The 23,287-nt window shown below is 38.3% G+C and overlaps 1 protein-coding gene and 1 long non-coding RNA gene across 8 annotated transcripts in view; one reads left to right on the forward strand and one right to left on the reverse strand.

The window, feature by feature from the left end:
• CDC14A (cell division cycle 14A) overlaps nt 1–23,287 on the forward strand; it is a 175,277-nt gene that overhangs the window by 58,985 nt on the left and 93,005 nt on the right. For all 6 annotated transcript variants that reach the window (NM_001319211.2, NM_001319210.2, NM_003672.4 and 3 more), the window contains exon 5: nt 20,237–20,316. In NM_001319211.2, coding sequence (NP_001306140.1) covers nt 20,237–20,316 — 80 coding nt within the window. The remainder of the gene's footprint in view (nt 1–20,236; nt 20,317–23,287) is intronic.
• Nucleotides 5,151–20,087, reverse strand: LOC105379827 (uncharacterized). Of its 2 annotated transcripts, none has more exons than XR_007066254.1 (3): nt 19,880–20,087; nt 8,198–14,605; nt 5,151–5,196 (listed from the first exon to the last, which is right to left on the reverse strand). It is a non-coding gene; the product is annotated as an uncharacterized LOC105379827 (long non-coding RNA). The 2 variants fall into 2 exon arrangements; XR_007066255.1 differs by lacking the exon at nt 5,151–5,196 and having other exon boundaries at nt 6,782–8,347; nt 8,463–14,605.

Genomic DNA, 23,287 nt, shown 5'->3' on the forward strand with positions numbered 1-23,287 from the left:
AATTTTTATTTCAAGAAATGTTTTCTATTTGATAGAGTGAGTAAAATTGTGGCCTTTCCCCTATTTTGGAAAGTGAATAAATTCATTAAACCCCTCTTCATGAGCACTTTCTGAAATTTTAAATAAAAGAAGAGCTAACCGCTTGCAGTGAGCTGAGATAGCGCCACTGCACTCCAGCCTGGGCAATAGAGCTAGACTCCGTCTCAAAAAAAAAAAAAGAGCTAACTGCAACTGCTGTTGAGTTTGCTGTGTGTTCAGTTATTTCTAAGATTTTTAGTGTTCAAAATAGGGTTGCCATGCTAAAAAACAGACTGTGGCCATGTAAACTACTAGGTTCCCACGTCACCAACACTCTGTCTCTGTGTCTTTCTTAATTTTCTTCCTTGTTGCTCTTCTGCCTTAGCTTTGCTTTTCCTGTGCCTATCTTCCCAAACCCCCGTAACAAATGCTTGTAGGGGCTTTGAATTTTCATTATGGAAATTCAAACTTTTAATTGATGAGGACTTAAAGCCAGGGGTGTAGTTATACAGCAAATTCATGGGTAATAAAACTAAATAGTGGGATGGCTGGCGTGGTGTCTCACGCCTGTAATCCCAGCACTTTGGGAGGCTGAGGCGGGTGGATCATGAGGTCAGGAGATAGAGACCATCCTGGCTAACATGGTGAAACCCCGTCTCTACTAAAAATACAAAAAATTAGCTGGGCGTGGTGGAAGGTGCCTGTATTCCCAGCTACTCGGGAGGCTGAGGCAGGAGAATCGCTTGAACCCGGGAGGCGGAGCTTGCAGTGAGCTGAGATTGAGCCACTGCACTCCAGCCTGGGCAACAGAGCGAGACTCCGTCTCAAAAAAACAAAACAAAACAAAACAAAACAAAACAAAAAACTAAATAGTAGGACTGGGAAAGTGTAACCTCAGCCTCAAAGAAATATTTTAGGAGGGCTGCAGTACCTCATAGAGTTATTTAATAAGAAATAATATTTGTGGTTCATAGTTTCAAATTAATGAGCAGACAGACAAGCCTTTCCATGTGAATATACATACTGTAGGATGAATCAGACAATTCTTTCAAGAGTGGGTGTACGAGTCATTTAGTGGGCCTGCTTTGGGAAATTTCTTAATTTAAGAAACCATAATTCCCTTCTCTGATAAACCTTTCCTGATGTTTTCTCCCTAGTTTTTCTGCCTACCCCTCACTCTCTGCCTCCCAGCTCTTCACTGTCATTTTCTTACTATCTGACTTAGAACATGGCTCATTTATAGCTTTTCTTACTTCATTTTGCAATTAATTGCACATAATATGATCTACTAGGATGAGCTCCTTGTACTTACTTGCTTTGCACACTCGCCCTTGTAAGAATGAGCTTTTTGAGTAAAGGGATAACTCTTACATATTTTTTTTTCTTCAACTTTTATTAAGTTCTGGGGTACATGTGCAGGATGTGCAGGTTTGTTACATAGGTAAATGTGTCCCATGGTGGTTTGCTGCACAGATCAACCCATCACCCAGGTATTAAGCCCATCATTCATTAGCTATTCTTCCTGATGCTCTTCCTCCTCTGAGGCACAGTGTGTGTTGTTCTTCACTATGCGTTCATGTGTGTTCTCATCGTTTAGCTCCCACTTATGAGTGAGAACATGCAGTGTTTGGTTTTTTGCTCCTGTGTTACTTTGCTGTGGATAACAGCTTCTAACTCCATTTATGTCCCTGCAAAGGACATGATCTTGTTTCTTTTTATAGCTGCATAGTATTCCATGGTGTATATGTACCACATTTTCTTTATCCAGTCTATTATTGATGGGCATTTAGGTTGATTCCATGTCTTTGCTATTGTGAATAGTGCTGCAGTGAACATACACGTGCATGCATCTTTGTAATAGAATGATTTTTATTCCTTTGGGTATATACCCAGTAATGGGATTCTGGGTCAAACGGTATTTCTGCCTCTAGGTCTTTGAGGAATCGCCACACTGTCTTCCACAATGGTTGAACTAATTTACACTCCTGCCAAGAGTGTAAACATGTCCATTTTTCTCCGCAGTCTCACCAGCATCTGTTGTTTTTTGACTTTTTAGTAATAGCCGTTCTCACTGGCATGAGATGGTATCTCATTGTGGTTTTGATTTGCATTTCTCTAATGATCAGTGATGTTGAGCTTTTTTTCATATGTTTGTTGGCCGCAAATATATCTTCTTTTGAGAAGTGTCTGTTCATATCCCCTGCTCACTTTTCAATGGGGTTGTTTGGTTTTTTCTTGTAAATTTGTTTAAGTTCCTTACAGACTCTGGATATTAGACCTTTGTCAGATAGATAGATTGCAAACATTTTCTCCCATTCTATAGGTTGTCTGTTCACTCTGATGATAGTTTCTTTTGCTGTGCAGAAGCTCTTTAGTTCAATTAGATCCCATTTGTCAATTTTTTCTTTTGTTGCAATTGTTTTTGGTATTTTCATCATGAAGTCTTTGCCCCCTGCCTATGTCCTGAATGGTATTACATAGATTTTCTTCTGGGTTTTTATAGTTTTGGGTTTTACATCTGAGTATTTAATCCATCATTAGTTGATTTTTGTGTAAGGTGTAAGGAAGGGGTCCAGTTTCAATTTTCTGCTTATGGCTAGCCAGCTCTCCCAGCACCATTTATTAAAAAGGCTGTTCTGGCCAGGCACGTTTGCTTATGCCTGTAACCCCAGCATTTTGGGAGGCAGAGGTGGATGGATCACCTGAGGTTGGGAGTTTAAGACTAGCCTGGCCAAGTGGTAAAACCCCGTCTCTACTAAAAATACAAAAAAAATTAGCCAGGCTTGGTGGTGGGTGCCTGTAATCCTAGCTTCTCAGGAGGCTGAGGCAGGAGAATCACCTGAACCCAGGAGGTGGAGGCTGCAGTGAGCTGAGATCGTGCCATTGGACTCCAGCCTGGGCAACAAGAGCGAAACTCTGTCTCAAATAAAAAAAAAAAAAAAAGAAAAAGGCAGTCCTTTCTCCATTGCTTGCTTTTTTCAGGTTTGTTGAAGATCCTATGTTTGTAGGTGGGTGGTCTTATTTCTGAGTTCTCTATTCTCTCCATTGGTCTTTGTGTCTGTTCTTGTACCAGTACCATGTTGTTTGGTTACTGTAGCCTTGTAGTACAGTTTGAGGTCAGGTAGCGTGATGCCTCCAGCTTTGTTCTTTCTGCTTAGGATCATCTTGGCTATTCAGGCTCTTTTTTGATTCCATATGAATTTTAAAATAGTTTTTTTTTCTAATTCTATAAAGAATGTCAGTGGCAGTTTAATGGGAATAGCATTGTATCTATAAATGACTTCGGGCAGTATGGCCATTTTCACGATATTGATTCTTCCTGTGCGTGAACATGGAATGTTTCTCTGTTTGTTTGTATCCTCTTTGATTTCTTTGAGCAGTGGTTTGTAGTTCTCCTTGAAAAGATCCTTCACTTCCCTTGTTAGCTGTATTGCTAGGTATTTTATTCTTTGTGTGCTAATTGCGAATTGGAGTTTATTCACTGTTTGGTTCTCTGCTTGCCTGTTGTTGGGGTATAGGAATGCTAGTGATTTTTGCACATTGATTTTGTATCCTGAGACTTTGTGGAAGTTGCTTATCAGCTTAAAAAGCTTTTGGGCTGAGATGATGGTGTCTCCTAGATATAGGATCATGTCATCTGCAAACAAAGATAATTTGACTTCTTCTCTTCCTATTTGAATACCCTTTATTTCTTTCTCTTGTCTGATGGCCTTGGCGAGAACTTCCAATACTATGTTGAATAGGAGTGGTGTCTCACTCGTATTTGTATCTCCAGTACTTAACATAGTGTCTGTCTGTGCTATTTTAAAAATTTATATTTATTTTTATTTTTTAAGTTGACTTCGTAATTGTACATATTCATGGGATACATACTGATGTTTTTTTAAAATGTACATGTAATGCTTTTATTTAAAAAAATCTTTTATTTTAGGTTCAGGGGTACATGTGCAGGTTTGTTGTAGAGGTAAATTTGTGTCATAGGGGTATGTTGTACAGAATATTTAGTCACCCAGGTACTAAGCCTAGTACCCAATAGTTATTTTTTCTGTTCCTCTCCCTCTGCCAGCCTCCATCCCCAAGTTGGCCCAAGTGTTTGTTGTTCCCCTCTTTGTGTCCATGTGTTCTCATCGTTTAGTTCCAGCTTATAAGTGAGAATATGCAGTATTTGGTTTTCTGTTCCTGCAATAGTTTGCTAAGGATTATGGCCTCCAGCTCCATCCATGTTCCTGCAGAGGACATGATCTTATTCTTTTCAATGACTGCATAGTATTCCATGGTATATATGTACCACATTTTAAATATCCATTCTACCATTGATGGGTATTTAGGTTGATTCCGTGTCTTTGCTATTGTGAATAGTGCTGCAGTGAATGCACATGTGCATGTGTCTTTATGACAGAATGATTTATATTCCTTTAGGTATATACTCAGTAATACGATTGCTGGGTTGAATGGTATTTCTGTTTTTAGGTCTTTGAGGAATCACCACACTGCTTTCCACAATGGTTGAACTAATTTACACTGCCACTAACAGTGTATAAGTGTTCCCTTTTCTCTGCAGCCTCACCAGCATCTGTTATATTTTTTGACTTTTTAATAAAAACCACTCTGACTGGTGTGAGATGGTGTCTCATTGTGGTTTTGATTTACATTTCTCTAATGATCAGTGATACTGAGCTTTTTTTCTTATGCTTGTTGACTGCATGTATGTCGTCTTTTGAAAGGTGTCTGCTCATGTCCTTTGCCCACATAATGAGGTTTTGCTACATGTGATATATAGTGATCAGAACGGATCCAGGCAATCAGCATATCAATCATCTGACACATTTATAATTTCTTTATGTTGGGGACATTCAATATCCTCCTTCTAGCTATTTGAAACCATATATTACTGTTAACTGTAGTCATCCTACAGTGGTATGGAACACTAGAACTTACCCTATCTATTAATAGCTATAATTTTATATCCTTTAACAAATATCTCCTTATCCCCTGTATTAGTCCTTTTTCACACTGTTGATAAAGACATATCTGAGACTGGGCAATTTACAAAAGAAAGAGGCTTAATGGACTTACAGTTTCACATGACTGGGGAGGCCTCACAATCATGGCAGAAGGTGAAAGGCACGTCTCACATGGCGGCAGATAAGAGAAGAGAACTTGTGCAGGGAAACTCTCCTTTTTAAGAACATCAGATCTCATGAGATTCATTCACTATCACAAACATAGCACGGGAAAGACCTGCCCTCATGATTCAGACACCTCCCATCGGGTCCCTCCCATAACATGTGGGAATTCAAGATGAGATTTGGGTGGGGACACAGCCAAACCATATCATTCCACTCCTGGTCCCTCCCAAATTTCATGTCCTCCCATTTCAAAACCAATCATGCCTTCCCAACAGTCCCTCAGAGTCTTAACTCATTTCAGCATTAACTCGAAAGTCCATAGTCCAAAGTCTCATCTGAGACAAGGCAAGTCCCTTCCACCTATGAGCCTATAAAGTCAATAGCAAGTTAGTTACTTCCTAGATACAATGGGGGTACAGGCATTGGGTAAGTACAGCCATTCCAAGTGGAATAAATTTGCCAAAACAAAGGGGCTACAGGCCCCATGCAAGTTCAAAATACGGCAGAGCTGTCAAATCTTAAAGCTCCAAAGTGATCTCCTTTGATTCCATATCTCACATCCAGTCCTGCCCTTGACTCCTGTCACCAAGGTTGCAGTTGCAAGGCTTTCAATTTGAAATCAACTGCTTGTTAAAACATAGGAATGGACCCATCCTGTTCAAAGAATGTAGGAATATGTGATAACTCTCCTAATAGTTATCAGTTCCTAATAGGAACTGGAGAATCCTTGAATCTCATCAGTTTGAATGTGGTAAAGTATTTATATTCCCTTCAAAAATGTCTGAAATTTTGAGAAATTCATCAGTACTTGCAAGTGAGTTGGAGTTTTAGCAGCAAGCTATGTATTTTATCCAGAGTCAAATTTTAAGTTTTTAGCCTGGGACCTGGGAAACATAGTGAAACCTTGTCTGTATAAAAAATAAAAAAGAATTAACCAGGTGTGGTGGTGCATATCTGTAGTCTCAGCTACTTGGGAGGCTGAGGCAAGAGGATTGCTTGATCCCAAAACTTTGAGGCTGCAATGAGCTGTGATTGTGCTACTGCACTCCAGCCTGGGTGACTGAGTAAGACTCTGGCTAAAAAAAAAAAAGAAAAAAAAATTTTTATTTTAGTTTTTTTTCCCCAAGAAACATATCTTTGAAATGTAATGAAAATAGTGACAAAATGGGGATAACATTTTAAAAGTTTCTAAAATCATTTTTTTTCCAAGACGGAGTCTTGCTCTGTTGCCCAGGCTGGTGTGCGGTGGCACAATCTCAGCTCACTGAAACCTCTGCCTCCCAGGTTCAAGCGATTCTCCTGCCTCAGCCTCCCGGGTAGCTGGATTACAGGTGTATGCCACCACGCCCAGCTAATTTTTGTATTTTAGTAGAGACAGGGTTTCACCATGTTGGCCAGGCTGGTCTCACACTCCTGACCTCGTGATTGCCTGCCTCGGCCTCCCAAAGTGCTGGGATTACAGGCATGAGCCACTGTGCCCGGCCAGATATATAAATTTTTAACAAAACCCAAAAACATTTGGAATATCCTGGCATTGGGCTGTGTTTAAAAAGTATATTAGACTTTACACATGTGTACTGATGAAAATATTTTACTTCTGAATTAATAGAGGAAATTAAAGTTGTTAAGATCCTTTTATTACAATTAAAATTTGGGGGATTTAACCACGATGGTGATCACCGAATTCTCGCTATTAATTCAATTTAAAAAATTTTTATCTCTCTCCTGCTCCTTTTTATTAAGGAACATTGGTTGATCTAGACCTCAGGTTAAGTACAAGAACTTCAGGATGAGATTGGAGGTCTCTGACTTTTACTGTGTTACTCTAGCAATGCGGAGAATAATTTCTCCTCTGAAGAACTGCTCTGGTAGAGCTGTATAGTGATTTTTTTTTGTTCAGTTATAGGAACCGATACATCTTAGAGAAGATCTCTCCCTGACCTACCTAACCAGCCCACCCTTCTCCACTCCCCATCCTCACCATACTGGTAAACCTGGATAAATTAACTTGTCACAGGAGGCAGAACTGACAGGCCCAAGAGCCTCCTATATTATTGGCATTCCAGTCCTTTGCCTCTACCTTCGCAGCCCTCAGCTTACTTCGACACCCATAGTGCAAGGGAACACTGTTGTGTGAATAACCGCTTACCTCTTTTCTCCTCTATCACTCTTTCTTGTTGTCTCTGTGTACCTTTCCCTCTCCATTTTTGTTTTTGTTTTTCCTACTGGTTCCATCTCTTTCTCCTTCCTGTGTTCTGATCACTTCTCTCCTATTGCTTTAAAAAGTTTTTTTTCTTCAGACAAGAATGAAAGGAATCTCCTATTGGTTTGTTTTTCCTTCCTTTTCCTCCTTTCTTAGTTGGCTGTCGGAGTTTTTTGGGTGTGTGTAACAGAAATTGACTCTGACTTACTGAAGCCCAAAACTTAGTAATGAATTTCCTGGAAGTTTAGTCAAAAGAGGGTAGTAGAGGGCTGCTGTGGCCTTCCCTTCTAATAAAAACTCTTTCTTCATTTTAATGGGAAATAGTATTTTCCTCTCTCCTTTTGTGTGATTCATTTGTTCATTCTTTCATTGAACAAACAGTCATTGAGCACCTGGGCCAGACACCCCTTCTGAGCTCTAAGGATATGGTAATGGACAAGAGAGAGAAAATCCCTGTCCTGACAGAGCTTAGATTTTGCTGGGAGAAACAAACAAATAAGAGGTCAGTGATAATGGCAAGTTGGTGATGTGCTGGTGACTGGCTGGCTACTTCAGATTGGAAGTTCAGAGATGCCCTCTTTGGGGTGGTGATGCTGATAAAGAGGAAGAACATTCTAGGCAGAGAACAACACATACAAAGGCTTTAGAGTGGGAATGAACTAGGAAAGGCTGAGGAACCAAGACAAAGCTGCTGTGGCTAAAAAGGCTATAATGCAGGCGATGAGGCCAAAGTCTCTGCTAGGGCTTGTATGTGAGAGCAAGTTCGAATTTTATTCTTCGTGACCTGTGGGTCTCTTAGGGAGCTGAAATGACCTGACGTACACTTAAAAACACTTTAAAAACTCACCTTTTAGAATGTCACTTGAAGCTCTCCATGGTACAGTTATCTGTATCGTTCCGATTTCTCTTATGCTACTCTGCCATAATGCTCTGATTACTTAACCTTTAAAGGTTTTTGTGAGGAGTACTTAAAGTGGGGGATCTCCTGGGATTAGATCTGAAATGATATACAAGGGATATGCCATGAGGTCAGGAACATACTTGCTTTGTTCTTGGTATTATCCATGGTGCTTGGTACTGGTAAGTCTTTGCTGAATGAAGAAATGAATTACCTGGTGTGTAGAACTGTGGAAAGCTCTCTGTTTTTCTCCTTTTCCTTCCTCCTTCTTCATTTTCCTTACTACCAGGAAACCTGCCATTCAAGTCTTGTTGCTCATAGGAAGATGGGGGTGAGAAATTGCTGGCCAGGGTGAAGGGGGGCTGTTTTCTGGAAGTAGTGAGGTCTGCCTACAGTAGTGAGCCAGAATAGGAGGGAAGTTCCCAGTTACTGCAGGGAAGGTGGGTGAACTTCCTGTATGTTTTATATATATATATATATATATATATATTTTATATATATATATTTTATATATATATATTTTATATATATATATTATATATATATATATAGTATGTATGCAATGGATCTGTTGATTGGGTTTAAGTTACTTTTATTTAAGCTGTAATTGTTTCAGTTCTGCTGTTTGTGGAAGTTAGTAAGCTAAAGTATGTAGGGAACATGTTTACTTAAAAAAATCTATGCACATTTAAGAACGATTAATTCTGCAGCTACTTGGGAGGCTGAGGCAGGAGAATCACTTAAACCCGGGAGATGGAGGTTGCAGTGAGCTGAGATCGTGCCACTGCGCTCCAGCCTGGGTGACAAGAGCGAAACTGTCAAAAAGAAAAGAAAAAAGAAAAAAGGATGATTAATTTCTGTTATCTTCTCGAAGGACAATACTGTCATGTGGCACATGTTTGAACAGTTGGGGCTAATGCACAGAAAAATTGCCACAGAATCTTTTCTGCAAACACCTGACTGATGGGCAAAACTCTTGTTTCTCCTGCTTTCTCTAAGCAACAACTCTTGTAAATACTGGAAGAGAACAACCAGTTCCTTGTTTGTGTGCATTGTTAGTTTTCTATTCTTCAGTGAGTTCAAAGAACAGTAGCTTACAAGTTACTATGATTCTAGACCTGAGATTTAGTTCACATGCTTTGTGGCTTTTGTGTTAGAAGTTTGGATAACATCTCACCTGTAAACTTCCTGAAATTTGAAAAAGAATAAAATGACTATATATGAAAAGGCTTCTTAAAATTTTAATTTTAAAAACAATTCTATGTACAGTTCCTTAAGTATATACTCTAGTTACTAAAATAAATACATTGGGTTGCTGGTCTACCACCTTCTCTCTTCGAGGAGATCACAGACTGCCTAAAGTTGCCATAAGTACATGGGAAGCAACCCCCACAAGTTTGGTTCCATCCCTGGCAAGTTTGGTAGGCTTCCTCCTGTTATTCCCAGAAAGTTTATGATCTTTCTTGTTCACTTTTCTCCTCAATTACTTTCCTTCCAGTGACAGCAAGAAAATTTCCTCTCATATTTGCCCTGCTTTCCACTGCCTCAGATTTGAAATCAGCTGTAATCACAATGCCAAATACTGAGGAAAGTTATGCATTTTGAAGCAGAATTGTATATAATTAAGTACCAATCAAAACATTAGAAATAATTCAGGGTTCACTTTAAAGCCATTATAGATGTATTCCTTGATTTCTTCAAGTTTTTCTAATTTAGCTTTCCCTCAAGTATTAGCATTGAGGGAAGATAATTAACTTAAGAAACTAACACACTTACTTAATTATTTTAGTTTTAATTTTGAAAATAGTGTCTTCTACTACATTTTATTTTAGATATATGATTTTAATGATAATAGTGAATATATTATCATGTTTGGACTAGCTTAGGAAACTTAAAATCCTAAGATTTTGTCTTTGGGAAAATATTTCCAGAAGTCAAAATATTATCCTTGGCAAGGCACAATGGCTCATGCCTGTAATCCCAACACTTTGGAAGGCCAAGGCGGTAGGATTGCCTGAGCCCAGGAGTTCGAGACCAGCGTGGGCAACATAGTAGACCCCATCTCTACTTTAAACAACAACAACAGAAAACAAAACAAAACAAAAAACCGCATATTATCTTTTACAGATAAATGTTTGGAGTATAATGTATTTGCAATTTAAAGACTTTCTATAATTGCTAACAGGTGTTAAGAGGATTTAAACATCCAGTCCTGGTCTGTTACAGTGGATCTGCGTCACCATCTTCATTACAAAGTTATGGTTCCTTGCCTTGTAAACTTGATCCAATTCAGTCCTGGGTTTAAATAACATACTTTTTTTTCATTTTCTTTCTTCATTTGGAAAGTTTTATGAAATGAAGCTCATGATATACCCAGAAGTAAGCAGTGAAACTCAGCACCAGGAGTTTTTAACATGAAACCATTCAGTTTGGGAGTATGTATTATTCAAGTGATATTCTGGAGTGAGTCTGTTTTTGCGTTTTATATAAGGACTACCTTTTGATGATGAATGATAAATGTTCTACAGGGTTATATTTAGCTGCATGTTGTAACATAACAGTATTTTGCTCAGCTTGCGTAAGACTAAGGGACTGAGGTTATTTTGGGGCGACACATTTTCTCCTTTCCCCCATTAACGTGTCCTTTTAGGTTTCTGTGTGTTAAGAACATTGGCTTGGTGTTTCCTTTGTTTGCTTTATAAGGGGTTGGACTAGTTTACTGTCACACAACCAGCTCAGTGAGGTCTATGCTGGTACATGAACTCACCTCAGGCAGAAGAGAAGCATTGTGTCACTGAGACAATGCTAGCAAGAGATGTGCATTTGTGCTGGCTGTAGCTGTCAGTTCTGGAAGGATATCTTTTTAGGCTGATTATGAAAATTCTGGTTGTAATCAAATTAGATGGGAAGACACACATGGCTAATATTGTCTGCCATTCTCCCTAAATTGCCCATCAAAAAGCTCCCACTGGTTTCACTCTAATTATACCCATGAGAGGGGTGAGAGAGTATTTCTATTCTAAACGAATTGTCAAATAAATAAAGTCTGCTGTTTGTTGACTGTATGTTAAATCCCAGCTTCAAATTAAACTGTAAAGAGATGTCACATGAGGGTATTTCAGAGCAAACAGCACCTCAAACAAAAAACATACTCATTTCTAGACCTCATTCTCATGAGGATTCAAATACTGAAAATTGTTAAGTATTTTTAGGGTAGAAATAAGTGATGTCTATAGAGACCTGATGTCAGGTTCTGCTTAACTTCTATGATTAGCCTTGCCTCCATATTTGTTAAGCAGGTATATTGTCTTATGCTTTGCTGACTTCATAATCTGTGATTTATAATGGACTCAAAACTTGAAGAACAGGAAGAATGACTTTATTTTACAACATGTTCAACCAAAGACTGTAGGAAACAAAAGACATTCATTCTTACTCTGTTTTAATTAGACTATTTAGCATGATAGATTTAAAATAGACTGAATATAATACAAGTTTTAAATACAGTTGTGTTTCTGATTTGTAATCAGACTGACTTTCCTAATTCATATGTGATTAACATTGAATATTTCTATTTCCACAAGCAATTAGAACAAAGTGGAATTGTTTATGCATTTGAGAAATGTATAACTTTTTCCTATTTTTAAAAAATTATAAAGTTGAATGTAGATATTGTTTTCTGAGTCACTGGATATAATGGGAGGAAATGATTAAGAAAATAATGTTGCTAAAAATAACAAAATTAAACAATTTGTTTGTGTTTGTGTATCACAATTAATGCTGTCTTTAGGAAAAAACAGTTTATAAATTAAGTGCCCTGACATTTAAGAAGTCTGAGAACCAAGTTTTGGGAGCCAAGGAAGAGACTTTAAAAGTTTTATGTTTCAGCTTTTTGCAGAGTTTTTTGCCTTGCAGTGCATTTTTATGATGGACTTCTGTTTCTATGCTGGACTTCTTTTCATGGACTTGTGTGGTTCATTCTTTGCAGGTAACTGGTGAGTGCTTTCCTTTCCTAAAAACAAATCCAACTTGGGAATCTAATTCTTTTGTTCATGAGACATTCAAATAGAAAAAATGAATACAGTGCTAGTAACAGTAACTCGCTTCTTATTTCATGTACTTTGTTGCAGAAAGACATGGCCCACCTCAGGGATCTTCTGATATTTTGATAATGGGTTTGGTAAAGCAGGGACCAGTGGCATTTATTTTATGGATGTTGATACTAAGGCATCAGGAGACTAGGGAGGCTGTTTAAAGAGGCAGAACTGAGAGTAGGATCAACATCTGTACTCTATAATCAGAGGGTTGAACTAAATCATGGTCTTATTAGGGACATTTACAACCTCATATTCTGATGTTTGTATACATAGACGGGCTTTAGGGTGAAGGTGTGAGAAATAATAACAGTGTGGGTCCAGATTCACCCAGAGACAGATGGTGGAAAGGAAAAAAAACATTTTGGGACCAAAGTTTATCTCCTTTTTGTTGTCCCTTGCTGTAGAAGAGCTATGTGCTAGATATAATTTTGAGCACTTTACATACATTATTAATTCATTTATTCTTCCCGACAAACAACCTTATGTGATAGTTACAATTATTATCCTCAGTTTATACCTAAGGCAATGGAAGCATAGAGGGTTAGTTTCATGCCACTAATGGGGAAAGAACCTGTGTCTATGTCATGCTTCCCCTCGTATAAAACGCCCACTATTTGTGCAATCGTCCATCATTTTTTGAGTGTGTGCTACATGCCAGGCATAGTGTTGAGTCCTGCAGATAAAAAAGAGATGGAAACCTTGCTGTCATTAGTCTTACAGCCTACTTGGGGAGACAGGCTCAATCAAATAACCACAGAAACAAACTGGTATACGAATTTGAAGGAGAAGGCAGAGAGCTTTGAGAACATAAGGCAGGGGCCTGATCTTATTGGGTTGCCAAAAAGACTGTCTCACTTTAGAGCTGTGATCCCAAGGAAACGGAGGAGGTGGCATCTAAACACTGCGATGATGCAAGGTAGGCTCAGGTTGAGTCTGGTCACTTCATAGGCCATTCCCAGCCCCCTTTAGAGTCCTTGAAGTCAGTGTCTTTAAGCTCCATAATGGAGATTTCAGACTATCTCTGTGCCCTCGTATATGTGCAGGTTCCTGTGCAAATTGTAAGCGTTAAGTAAATATATATGCTGATTGAATTACAGTCATCTGTGGTGATTTGTGCTCTGTTCCACCTCCTGCTGGCTGCGTTGTATCCCATGTTGGAAGTGGCTGAGTGTGGCTTCAGAATAGACACAGAGGAAGTGGGAGAGTGAATATTTGGATGAGGGAGTATGCCTTGACTAAATACTTTCTATAAGCAAATACAAATCATATGACCTAGAGCTTTTATTTTTTAAAATCAGTCTATTGCTTTCTCTTGAAGCACATCATTGGTGAATTGACTCTATTTGGCTTGATGCTTTCATACAACTGGGCTGAGAAAGTTCATTTTACCCCTCTTTTGGGCATTCCCACTATAGTTGTAGTGATATAGTCTTTTAAAATCTCATTCACCAATTATTAATTAAGCTGAATTAACCCTTTTGGGTAGATGCATTCTTATCCTTATATGTTTAAAGTAGCTGTTCATTAAACATAGGTTTTTTGCTGAGCATCTATCTGACAGGAGGCATCTGAAGGTTTATAAAGGTATGGGAAGCTTGGTTACTTGAGCTCCAGAAGCTTTCCACTTTAGTCTAAAGGAAACTAATTACAAAAGAGCTGTGAGGGGCCCATCAGGATGTGCTTATGAGTTTCTATGAGGGAGCCAGACTGACTGTGTGACCTTGAGCAACTAATTCTCAGTGCTTTTCCTGTAAAATGAAAATGGGAATAATAATGGAACCTAACTCGGGGTGATGTGAGGATTAATGAACCAAGTTATGTACAATGCCTAGAAGAGTGCCTGGCACATGGTATATACTGTTAACTTTTTGTTTTTATTGTTGTCATTATTGTGATCATTATCACCTATAGTTGAGTGTCATATTCTGGAGTCTAAAGGGTAAGGGAAAAGGTTCTGAGTTGGAGAAGAAAGGCATCATGGGACATAGTATTTGAGTTTAGGTCTAATGAAATATAGGTCTAATAGGTAGAAATGGTGAGGAAAGTATTCCAGAAAAACAACAACAACCTCAAATACCAGAGATATCAGGTATGTTTAGGGAAGGGTGAGGAGTCCAGGCTAGCGGGTAGGGTTCATTTGAGGAAAAATGACAAATTTACCTGAAAAGGCAGGCTGGGACGATATCTTGGTGAAGGGTTGGCAGTCTGGACTGGGCTTTTTGAGCAGGGTTGAGACTTTCCGAGCCCTGCTCTGGAACTACTGGAGTAGGCAGGAGGTGGAGGCAGAGAGAAATGGTGTTAGTCCTAGAGTACGGTGATAAGGGTTTGGATAAGGGTTTGAAATAACGTGATGATGATTGTCATGGAAGAAAGGTCCAGGTAGTTCACTGCGGAACTAATGAAATTTAAGACTCAGGGCCTTTTCTTGCTTAGTTCCGTCTCTCAAGCTGTTGAAGGGAAAATTTTTTGTAAAATATGAAAAGATGTTTGTATCCTCCGTCTTTGCTCCCCAAATGATGTGTTTCAGGCTCCCAAACCTGGATCTACCCCATAATTGAAAGAGACTGTGGATGGCCAGGAGTGGTAGCTCACGCCTGTAATCCCAGCACTTTGGGAGGCTGAGGCGGGTGGATCACTTGAAGCCAGGAGTTTGAGACCAGCCTGGCCAACATGGTGAAGGCCTGTCTCTACGAAAAATACAAAAAAGTAGCTGAATGTGGTGGTGTGTACCTGTAGTCCTAGCTACTTGGGAGGCTGAGGTGGGAGGATGGCTTGAGCCTTGGGGGTGGAGGTTGTAGTGAGCTGAGATTGTGCCACTGCACTCCAGCCTGTGTGACAGAGCCAGAACCTGTCTAAAATAAAATAAATAAAAAGAGAGAGACTGACTGTGACTGTGAAGAGATAATCAGTCTGGGTATTGACTTGATGTGGCTATCACGTGATGGAGAGGCCAAGGTCAAAGATGACTTTTGAGATTCTGGGTCTGGCTGACTGGGAGGAACCCCTCATGAGAAAGGGGGATGTTGGGAGCAGCCAGTTAGGGTGCGGTAGTTTCAAGCCAAGTGAGTGCTCTGCACTGGTTAGCTTCACCAGTAAAAGAAACATTTTCTTCTTATATCTGCCCACCCCCATCCTCAATTGCAGTTTTGCAAGCATGATAATTGTAAGTTACACAGTGCTAAGGAAAGGACTCAGCATTTCTGCTGATTAATGGGCTTCAGCCCAAAGCACACATCATAGTGATGTCTTTGTAATGTCCACAGTTAGTATTCTGTGTATTCTAAACCTAGTTGTCTGAAACTTGTAAATGGAGTCTCTCCTTTTTTGGCATAAGTCTTCCACATTTGGTAAATCATAGTGCTTTAAGACTATTTTAAAGTTGTAACATCAGTTTTCTGGAAATTGTATTTTGAAGGAATTTAATTGACTAAGACATGGTTGAAATGTTAATTTCAAAGCTATCGTGCCAATGTTCCAGTGGCAGCACCTACCTGGGAAAGGCTATTGTCAGCATTTGTTTCCTCTTTTTCACACAAGTAAAATATTAAACAAATAAAATTGAAGAATACTCTTTCAGATGGCCAAATTGAATCCTCAAGAGTATTTTCACTTTCCAAGTCACAAAATATAAATATAATTAATGTAGGGGCACAGATTTCACTTTTAAATATATATATATATACATATATATATACATATATACACACACACACACACACACACACACACACACATATATATATATATATATAGTGTGTATGTGTGTGTGTGTTATGCTTTGCTGAAAAGGTTTTTTTTTTTTTTTTTTTTTTTTTGGAGGAAAAATAGCACCTAAAAACAAAGCTAAAAACATAGTAAAGTTTGAGGCAAATGTCCCCAGAGAAAGATCATTAGCAAATTCATGACCCAGAGTCTGGTTGAGACTTCTCTATGAAGCCATTTATTGTTTTAAGAATCTCCCCTTGTGTATCAGAGAGGTTGAATTATCTGAGTAGAGAAATACAGTTGTAAATTCCAAAATGCTTCAGAAATTCACATATTATTTTGGAGCAGGTATTAAGGATTTAATGACTGCAGGATTTAGTTTAAAAAAATGATTTAGAAGTATTTGCAGATGAATTCTAAGAGGATTCTATATAACTTCTCATGTTGGTCTGGTGTTCCTCTATAAAATTAGTACAGACTTGATATTTGTTACATTGTTTCTCACGGTGTAGTAAACACAAATATTTAAAATTATAAGAGTTATGCATTTTAATATTCATTTATGTATAGACTCAGTGGCGGGTTTTCCCATTTATAGCAATGATATAAAACATTTTACATCAAATTGATTTAAGTCAAAAGTAAATGTGTGTTTAAAAAGAATGAATGGTAGTACATGGTGGTACCTACGGCAGAAGTTGGGAAAGTGCATGATTAACTAATGGGCAACATTGGCTTACTGGTAAACAATATAAATTGTGCTGGTTTGTAGTAGGGTAAATTTTATTACGCTGTTTAATAAAACCTCATAGCTGTTGATAATATATATGTTAAGATACTGGCTCTTTAAGAAGCTTTTATTAAAGAAACTAAAAGTTATTTAAGTTCTTGGTACCTGGAAGTTAATTAAACAGAAAAAAGTCACTTTAATTGGGTGACTCCTGCTCAGTTAAAAATAAAAGTATATGTTAAATGCTATATTATTAATATGGTTTCTAGGACTTCTTGGCAAAAGTAGGGCAATTTTATCAAAGTCGTGCATGTACCACCCACTAAAATGATGTGGTACACCAAACATTATCTGTGCAAATGCTTTTGTTAAGTTGTATTAGTCAAAAGTTTGGGGAAAGTTCTGGTTTGGGTTTATATATGTTAATACCTAGCGAGAAAAGTAGACAGCATATTCTTTCTTTCCCCTTAGGAGCACAAGAGAAAAAATCAAGATATTTAGAAGATGCTTTGAAATTAATTTCATTCAGAAAATATTTTTATGATTCTGCTGAGAGAAGGCAAAAATATTTTTAGAAATATTAGAATATCTGGCAACAAATTTTCGAGCATTAAATATGGATTTTATTTTTAGAAAGAGTACACATTTGACATTGCATAACTAATTTACTTACTTCACATTTAAAAAACAGATTTGTGTATGTCTGTGAAAAAGACAATGTGTTGATAGTAGAACTATAAGGTAGAAAGTTCCTCTTTCTCCTTCTGATCCTTCCCCTGCCCTTTTCCTCAAATGTGACTACAAACTGTTAACAGTTTGAAGTCCCCTAAGTTTTAAAATCAAATGGAATGAAATGGCATTTAGGAACTTGGAAGAGTGGAAACCTTTTTTCCAGACCTATGCTACCAACTGAGTTTATATTTTCAGGCAGATATGATGAAATTGCTGTGGGCTTTGGAGTCAGCCCACTGTTCGAATTCTGTTTTCATCCTAGAGCAACAACGCGAGTTTGGAAAGTTCCTTACCTTTCTTACTAAATGTCACTTTTCTTCTGAGCTTTAATCTAGCCTAGTCTGTCTCTCTCCTCTCTCTCTTTTTAATAAGCAGACATGTCTAAGAAGATCTGGCATAAGAATATGTGACATATTTTGTCCTGGAAAAATCGAATTTGGTATTTTAATGACCCAGCATGCATTCATGCAGTAATGCACTCACTCATCAGGAGAACATTTCCCCACTTTGCCCAAATACCTACCTTCAGGTTGTGAAAGGTCAACCTGTAAAAGATGCCCCAAGAATCTTCCTGGAATTTAGATGGCCTCTGTTGGGTTTCACTTTGCACTTATTAATAATTGAGCACTGGGATAAAAATAAAAACAAAGGGTCTCATCTTGCAGTGTGAGAACATGGGCCATGTGTGCTAAGTCATGCAGGTAAGATGAGGAGCAAAGCCCTGTGGGGTAGCCAATCTAAAGAAGCATTCCATGTGGGCTGGTGCCTCCCTCTTGCAGAATGACTCCCTCCAAATTAAAGGGAATTAACGTAATTGCTCCTGGGGAGGAAAATGCATTTTTGCTTTTCAAAGGTTGTTGTCTAAGCTTTAATTATCTAATCCACACACAGAAGCTTTCTACAAGCAGCCCTCCCTTTTAGCAACCAGTCACCTTTCAAATACTGCGGCATCTTTAGGCTTAAGAAATCACTGCATTATAACCAATTCTGTTATATAACCTACCCCTTAGGGTACAGTAAAACCTGTTGTAATGTTGGTTACTGAAAATGGTCTTTAGAGCTAGTGTTGGTTTAAATGGAGTTTTGTAATTATTTGAGCTGCAACTAGAGTGACAATTCTCCATTTTTAGAATCTGTGCCTCTTGTCTGGCAGCACTTTTAGTTATTTCCTTTCTATTGCTTTTTGTTTCACACTCAATAAGCTTTGGTTGGTGTGTGCTTTATCAGACCTTCATGTTTACTTGCCAAATGAATATGGGGTTTTGTTACTAAAGTTAGTATTTTTAATCTATTTATTTTATTTTTCTTTCTTTAGAAAACTCAGAATGGACTCGTTTTCTAGTCCTGAAATATTAATAAGTAAACATGTAATATATTCCTAGTGAAATAGCTTAAAGCTCAAAGAAGGTCTGTAAGTAGAGGAAAACCCTACTGTTAAGAACCAAGACTCTGCCATTCTTGTCATTGAAATGCATAGGGTTTTGATGTTGGGACATACTAAGGAAATAGTGCCACTAATTTTAGGTAGAGAAGATTGTAGGAATTAAGCTCGTTTCTGACTATAGAGGAAAAGGACCAAGACCATCGGCTCAGAATTAAAAAATTAAATTGCTCTTGGAATAAAATTGAGCTCTCCCAGTGGTTTGTATTGCTCTTCACATTCCGGCCACTGCCTGGCTTTCTCCCGCCCCCTGTCCTCTTCTCTCAGTCCTAGCCACACTGACCTCCTTTTCCTCCAACTTACCAAGCTCTTTCCCACCTCAGGGAACTTGTCTTTGTCATTCTCATGCCTGGATAGCCATTCCTCCTTCCCCTTAGCTCTTCCTGTGGTTCTCCCCATCTAGAGTCTAGATCTTACCCTGAACATCACCCAGAGACCCCTCCCTGACTACCTTGACTCAGGTAGCTGCTTTCCAGGCCCCTGTTTATTTACTTTTCAGCATTTACCTTAGACTGTATTTATTTTTGTTGATTATTGTCTTTGCCCCACAAGCATAAATTCTATTAAGGGAGGTGCCAGTACCTGATACAGTGCCTGGCATATACTATATACTCAGTATCTATGTATATTACCTGGGAGTTGTTCACTGGTTTTAAGGAATCCTTTTTTGTTTGTGTCTTTAAGATTAGTTCATCTTGTCAGACTAGAGGGATTTAAGTAGCTTTGGTATCAAAATCCAAGATAATATGTTTTCCAATACTCTTACCCATACACATTTTCACCCATTTTATTGTGATTTTATTGAGTGTCTAGAGAGCAACACTGGCTTTCCTCAAGAGTAGGCTGAAAATTCAGTAGATACCCCATGGATATTGTGCTCACTGTGAGAAGTCTTTCAAAATTTACCAGGCACTGAAATAACTCACCTCAGGTCTTCGATGAAGGTCAGGGAGGTGTGCGTTGGTCTTTGGTGAGCACACGGTATATTATGAGGGTACAACTGTCGCTGCCATTGTGTCTGTTCAGTGTGCCTTTGTAAAGAGCCTGGGATGGCCTCTTCATGGATCTGCCCTCTGTCTCTAAGCTTACCCATGGAGAAGACAAAGGCTGCTGCGCAGCTTCATGCTGAAAAGGAAATGTTGGCAAGTTGTTGCTTTGTAAAGATCAACACTATCACCGTAACAGCTGTCACTCAAAGTGGAGGAAGTGAAATGCAAATTTGGTGAGTAATTAGTTTTGTGTCATTCTTGGGTGTTCTAAATGTTACTATTTATCTGTCTTAGGTAATCTATTTAAAGAAGACACCAGAAGAAGCCTACAGAGCACTCCTGTCTGGCTCAAACCCCCCCTATCTTCCATTCAGGTATAACTCCTGGTGAGACTTGGGTTAAACTTTTGCTACAGAGCTGGACACTTTAGAGTTGGGTTGTAGTGTTTTTTAATTGTCTTAAGATAATAACCATTATGTTATATGGAATGAAATGAGATGGTAGTTTTTATTATTTCATTTCGTAGAGTTTTATCCCCCTAGCTAGCAAGAATAAAAGAGCTTTCTTCTTGTAGGAATTTATTTTTTTCTTTGAATCCTTTCTATATCTTTACAGTTTATGTCAAGCACAAAAAGTGCCTCATTTATAAGCTAATAATCATGTCAAGATTTGTTGGATTTCAGTAATCTACATCATTGATTCATCCATTCATTCTTTCATTTCATAAGCAGTGATTGAGCTCTGGTCACATGTCAGAGGCCGGGGATATAGAATAAGACCCTCTAAGATTCTTCAGGAGCACCTGTTTAGTGGGGACCCTAAATCACCAGTTTGGCACACAAATCTGACTGGCATCCCCAGGAAGCCTTTCTCTCATTACTGTGTTTTCTAAGTATCATCAAAAGAAGATCTTTTAAAAATTTGGGGTGAACTTGAGCTCATTTAAAAAGTAGAAGGGGACTGGGTGCAGTAGCTCATGGCTGTAATCCCAGCACTTTGGGAGGCTGAGGCTGGTGGATAGCTTGAGCCCAGGAGTTCGAGACCAGCCTGGGCAACATGGTGAAACCCCGTCTCTACTAAAAATACAAAAGTTAGCCAGGCATAGTGGTATGTGCTTGTAGTCCCAGCTACTTGAGAGGCTGAAGTGGGAGGATCGCTTGAGCCTGGGAGGTCAAGGCTGCAGTAAGCTGAGATCGCCCCACTACACTCCAGCGTGGGTGACAGAGTGATACCGTTTCTCAAATAAATAAATACATACATACATACAGTAGAAGGGACCATACATCAAAACTCCCATAACACTTACCTCTGCTAGAATTGTGAATGATTCTAATATTTTTGCCTTTTTTGCTTGTGTGTCCAAATCTGCAAGCATGTGTATTGCTTATTGCTTATTATTATTACCATAATTAACCAACACAATGAGCGAAAGGAATGGGAGTGACTGAGAAGACTCTGCTTGTCTGTCTTCCTCATTCTGCTGTAAACTCTCAGAGGGCAGGCCCCAGTGCCTTATACTTAAAAGCACTTTTAGTGAATATTTGAATGAATACATTAAGACTAAATCCCTTAAGAGTCAAGGGATTCTCATTCTGCTTCTGAGATCACAGGAGGTAGCTGTTAGGGTAAGACATGGGGAGGGAAGAAGCAACACCTATTGTGCTTAATTAAAGTGAAGTCAAGGAGTAAGGCATTGGGATTTGGACCCTGAGGGGAAAATATTCTGAATCAACCTAGAGTCTGAGGTAATCAGCCGTGGAAGGGCAAATAAAAAATGGCAGATAATGTAGATGAAAGTTTTAATGGTGAAGACAAAGCTTATTTTTCCTTCCACTTCTAATGGCTCCTATACTTTGAAAGTCCTTTGTAAAATATAATCCTATTTTTTCAGAAAGGGGTAATAATGCTGATAATTCTAAGTTCTAAGCAAAGTGGTTAGGAGTATATACTTTGGAGGCAGAGAAACTTCAAGCAGTTTGAAGCCTCATTCTGCTTCTTGCTGTCTGTAGTAAATAAGTATCTCGGACAAATTACTTATCCTCTCTCAGCCACAGTTTCCTTATCTGTAAAATGGCTTCAGGTCTAAACTAAGGATCAAATGAAGTAATAAATTTATCCTTCTGCCTAGTGCAATGTTTGGTTTTTGTTTTTCTTGTTGTTAGCATTATACTATTATTACTGTTAGTAACATAATTAATAGTAGTAGTAATTATTATTACAGGGTCTTACTCTGTCGCCCAGGCTGGAGTGCAGTGGCACACTGCAACCTCTGCCTCCTGGGTTCAAGAGAATCTCCTGCTTCAGCCCCCTGAATAGCTGGAATTGGAGGCCCCCACCACCATGCCTGGCTAATTTTTGTATTTTTAGTAGAGATGGACTTTTGCCATGTCTGCCAAGCTGCTCTTGAACCCCTGGCTTCAAGTGATCCACTTGCATCAGCCTCCCAAAGTGCTGGGATAAAGGTGTGAGCCACTGCACCCAGTCAAGAACTAGAATTTTAAAATAATAATACCAGAATAGAAGAAAAGATAGTAAGATAATTAATACTACTTAACATAGAATTGATTTCAATTCTACATAAATACTAAATTTATAGCCTATTTTTCAAATATTTTTCACTCAAATACTTTTATGTAAATATTTGAAAATATAAATACATTAACATAGTTCAGAAATTTAAAAAATCTATATAGGAAGGTTTAAGTGAAAATTATCCCTCCCATCCTTGATCCTCATCTGTCTAGTCCTTTCCAGGTAACTTCTGGTATTAGTTGATTTGATATCAGTCTAGAATTTCTTTATGCACGTATAAGTAAATGAAGATATGCACCCATTTCCTACTAAAAGTATGCCTTTGAATGTAACTCTAAGTTCTATCTTTTTGATATCTTAGGATACCAAGAGTTGTATTTACATTAAGCTTCATTTCTAAATCTAGAATCTTCATAAACCATACATTTGAAACAGAAAATACCACAAAGTAGTACATTTATAATTTAGTGAAGAATTTAGTTGAAAGAATACTACTAGTTTTCTGGAAACTTAATTTTTTTATTATGCTAAGATAAGATGTGAGTTGTTTTTAGTCTACAGTTCAGGCCAACTAAGACTAATGGACTTCTATCAAGAATCATCCTCATACTAAATTCTGGGCAGCCATCATTGCGTTGGCCTTCATTATAATCTGGGTTTTATTATCACCAGGTTTAAAAAAAAATCCCATTTCTTATGAAATTACACTTTTGTCTTCATTGTCTAGATTTTTTCAACTGCTGATATATTAACACTTTTAATTAAAAATGAGAAGCCTTAAAGGAATTTCTATTTGGATGTAATTGTTTTATT

Source organism: Homo sapiens, chromosome 1 (assembly GCF_000001405.40).
Source record: "Homo sapiens chromosome 1, GRCh38.p14 Primary Assembly".
NCBI lineage: Eukaryota > Metazoa > Chordata > Mammalia > Primates > Hominidae > Homo > Homo sapiens.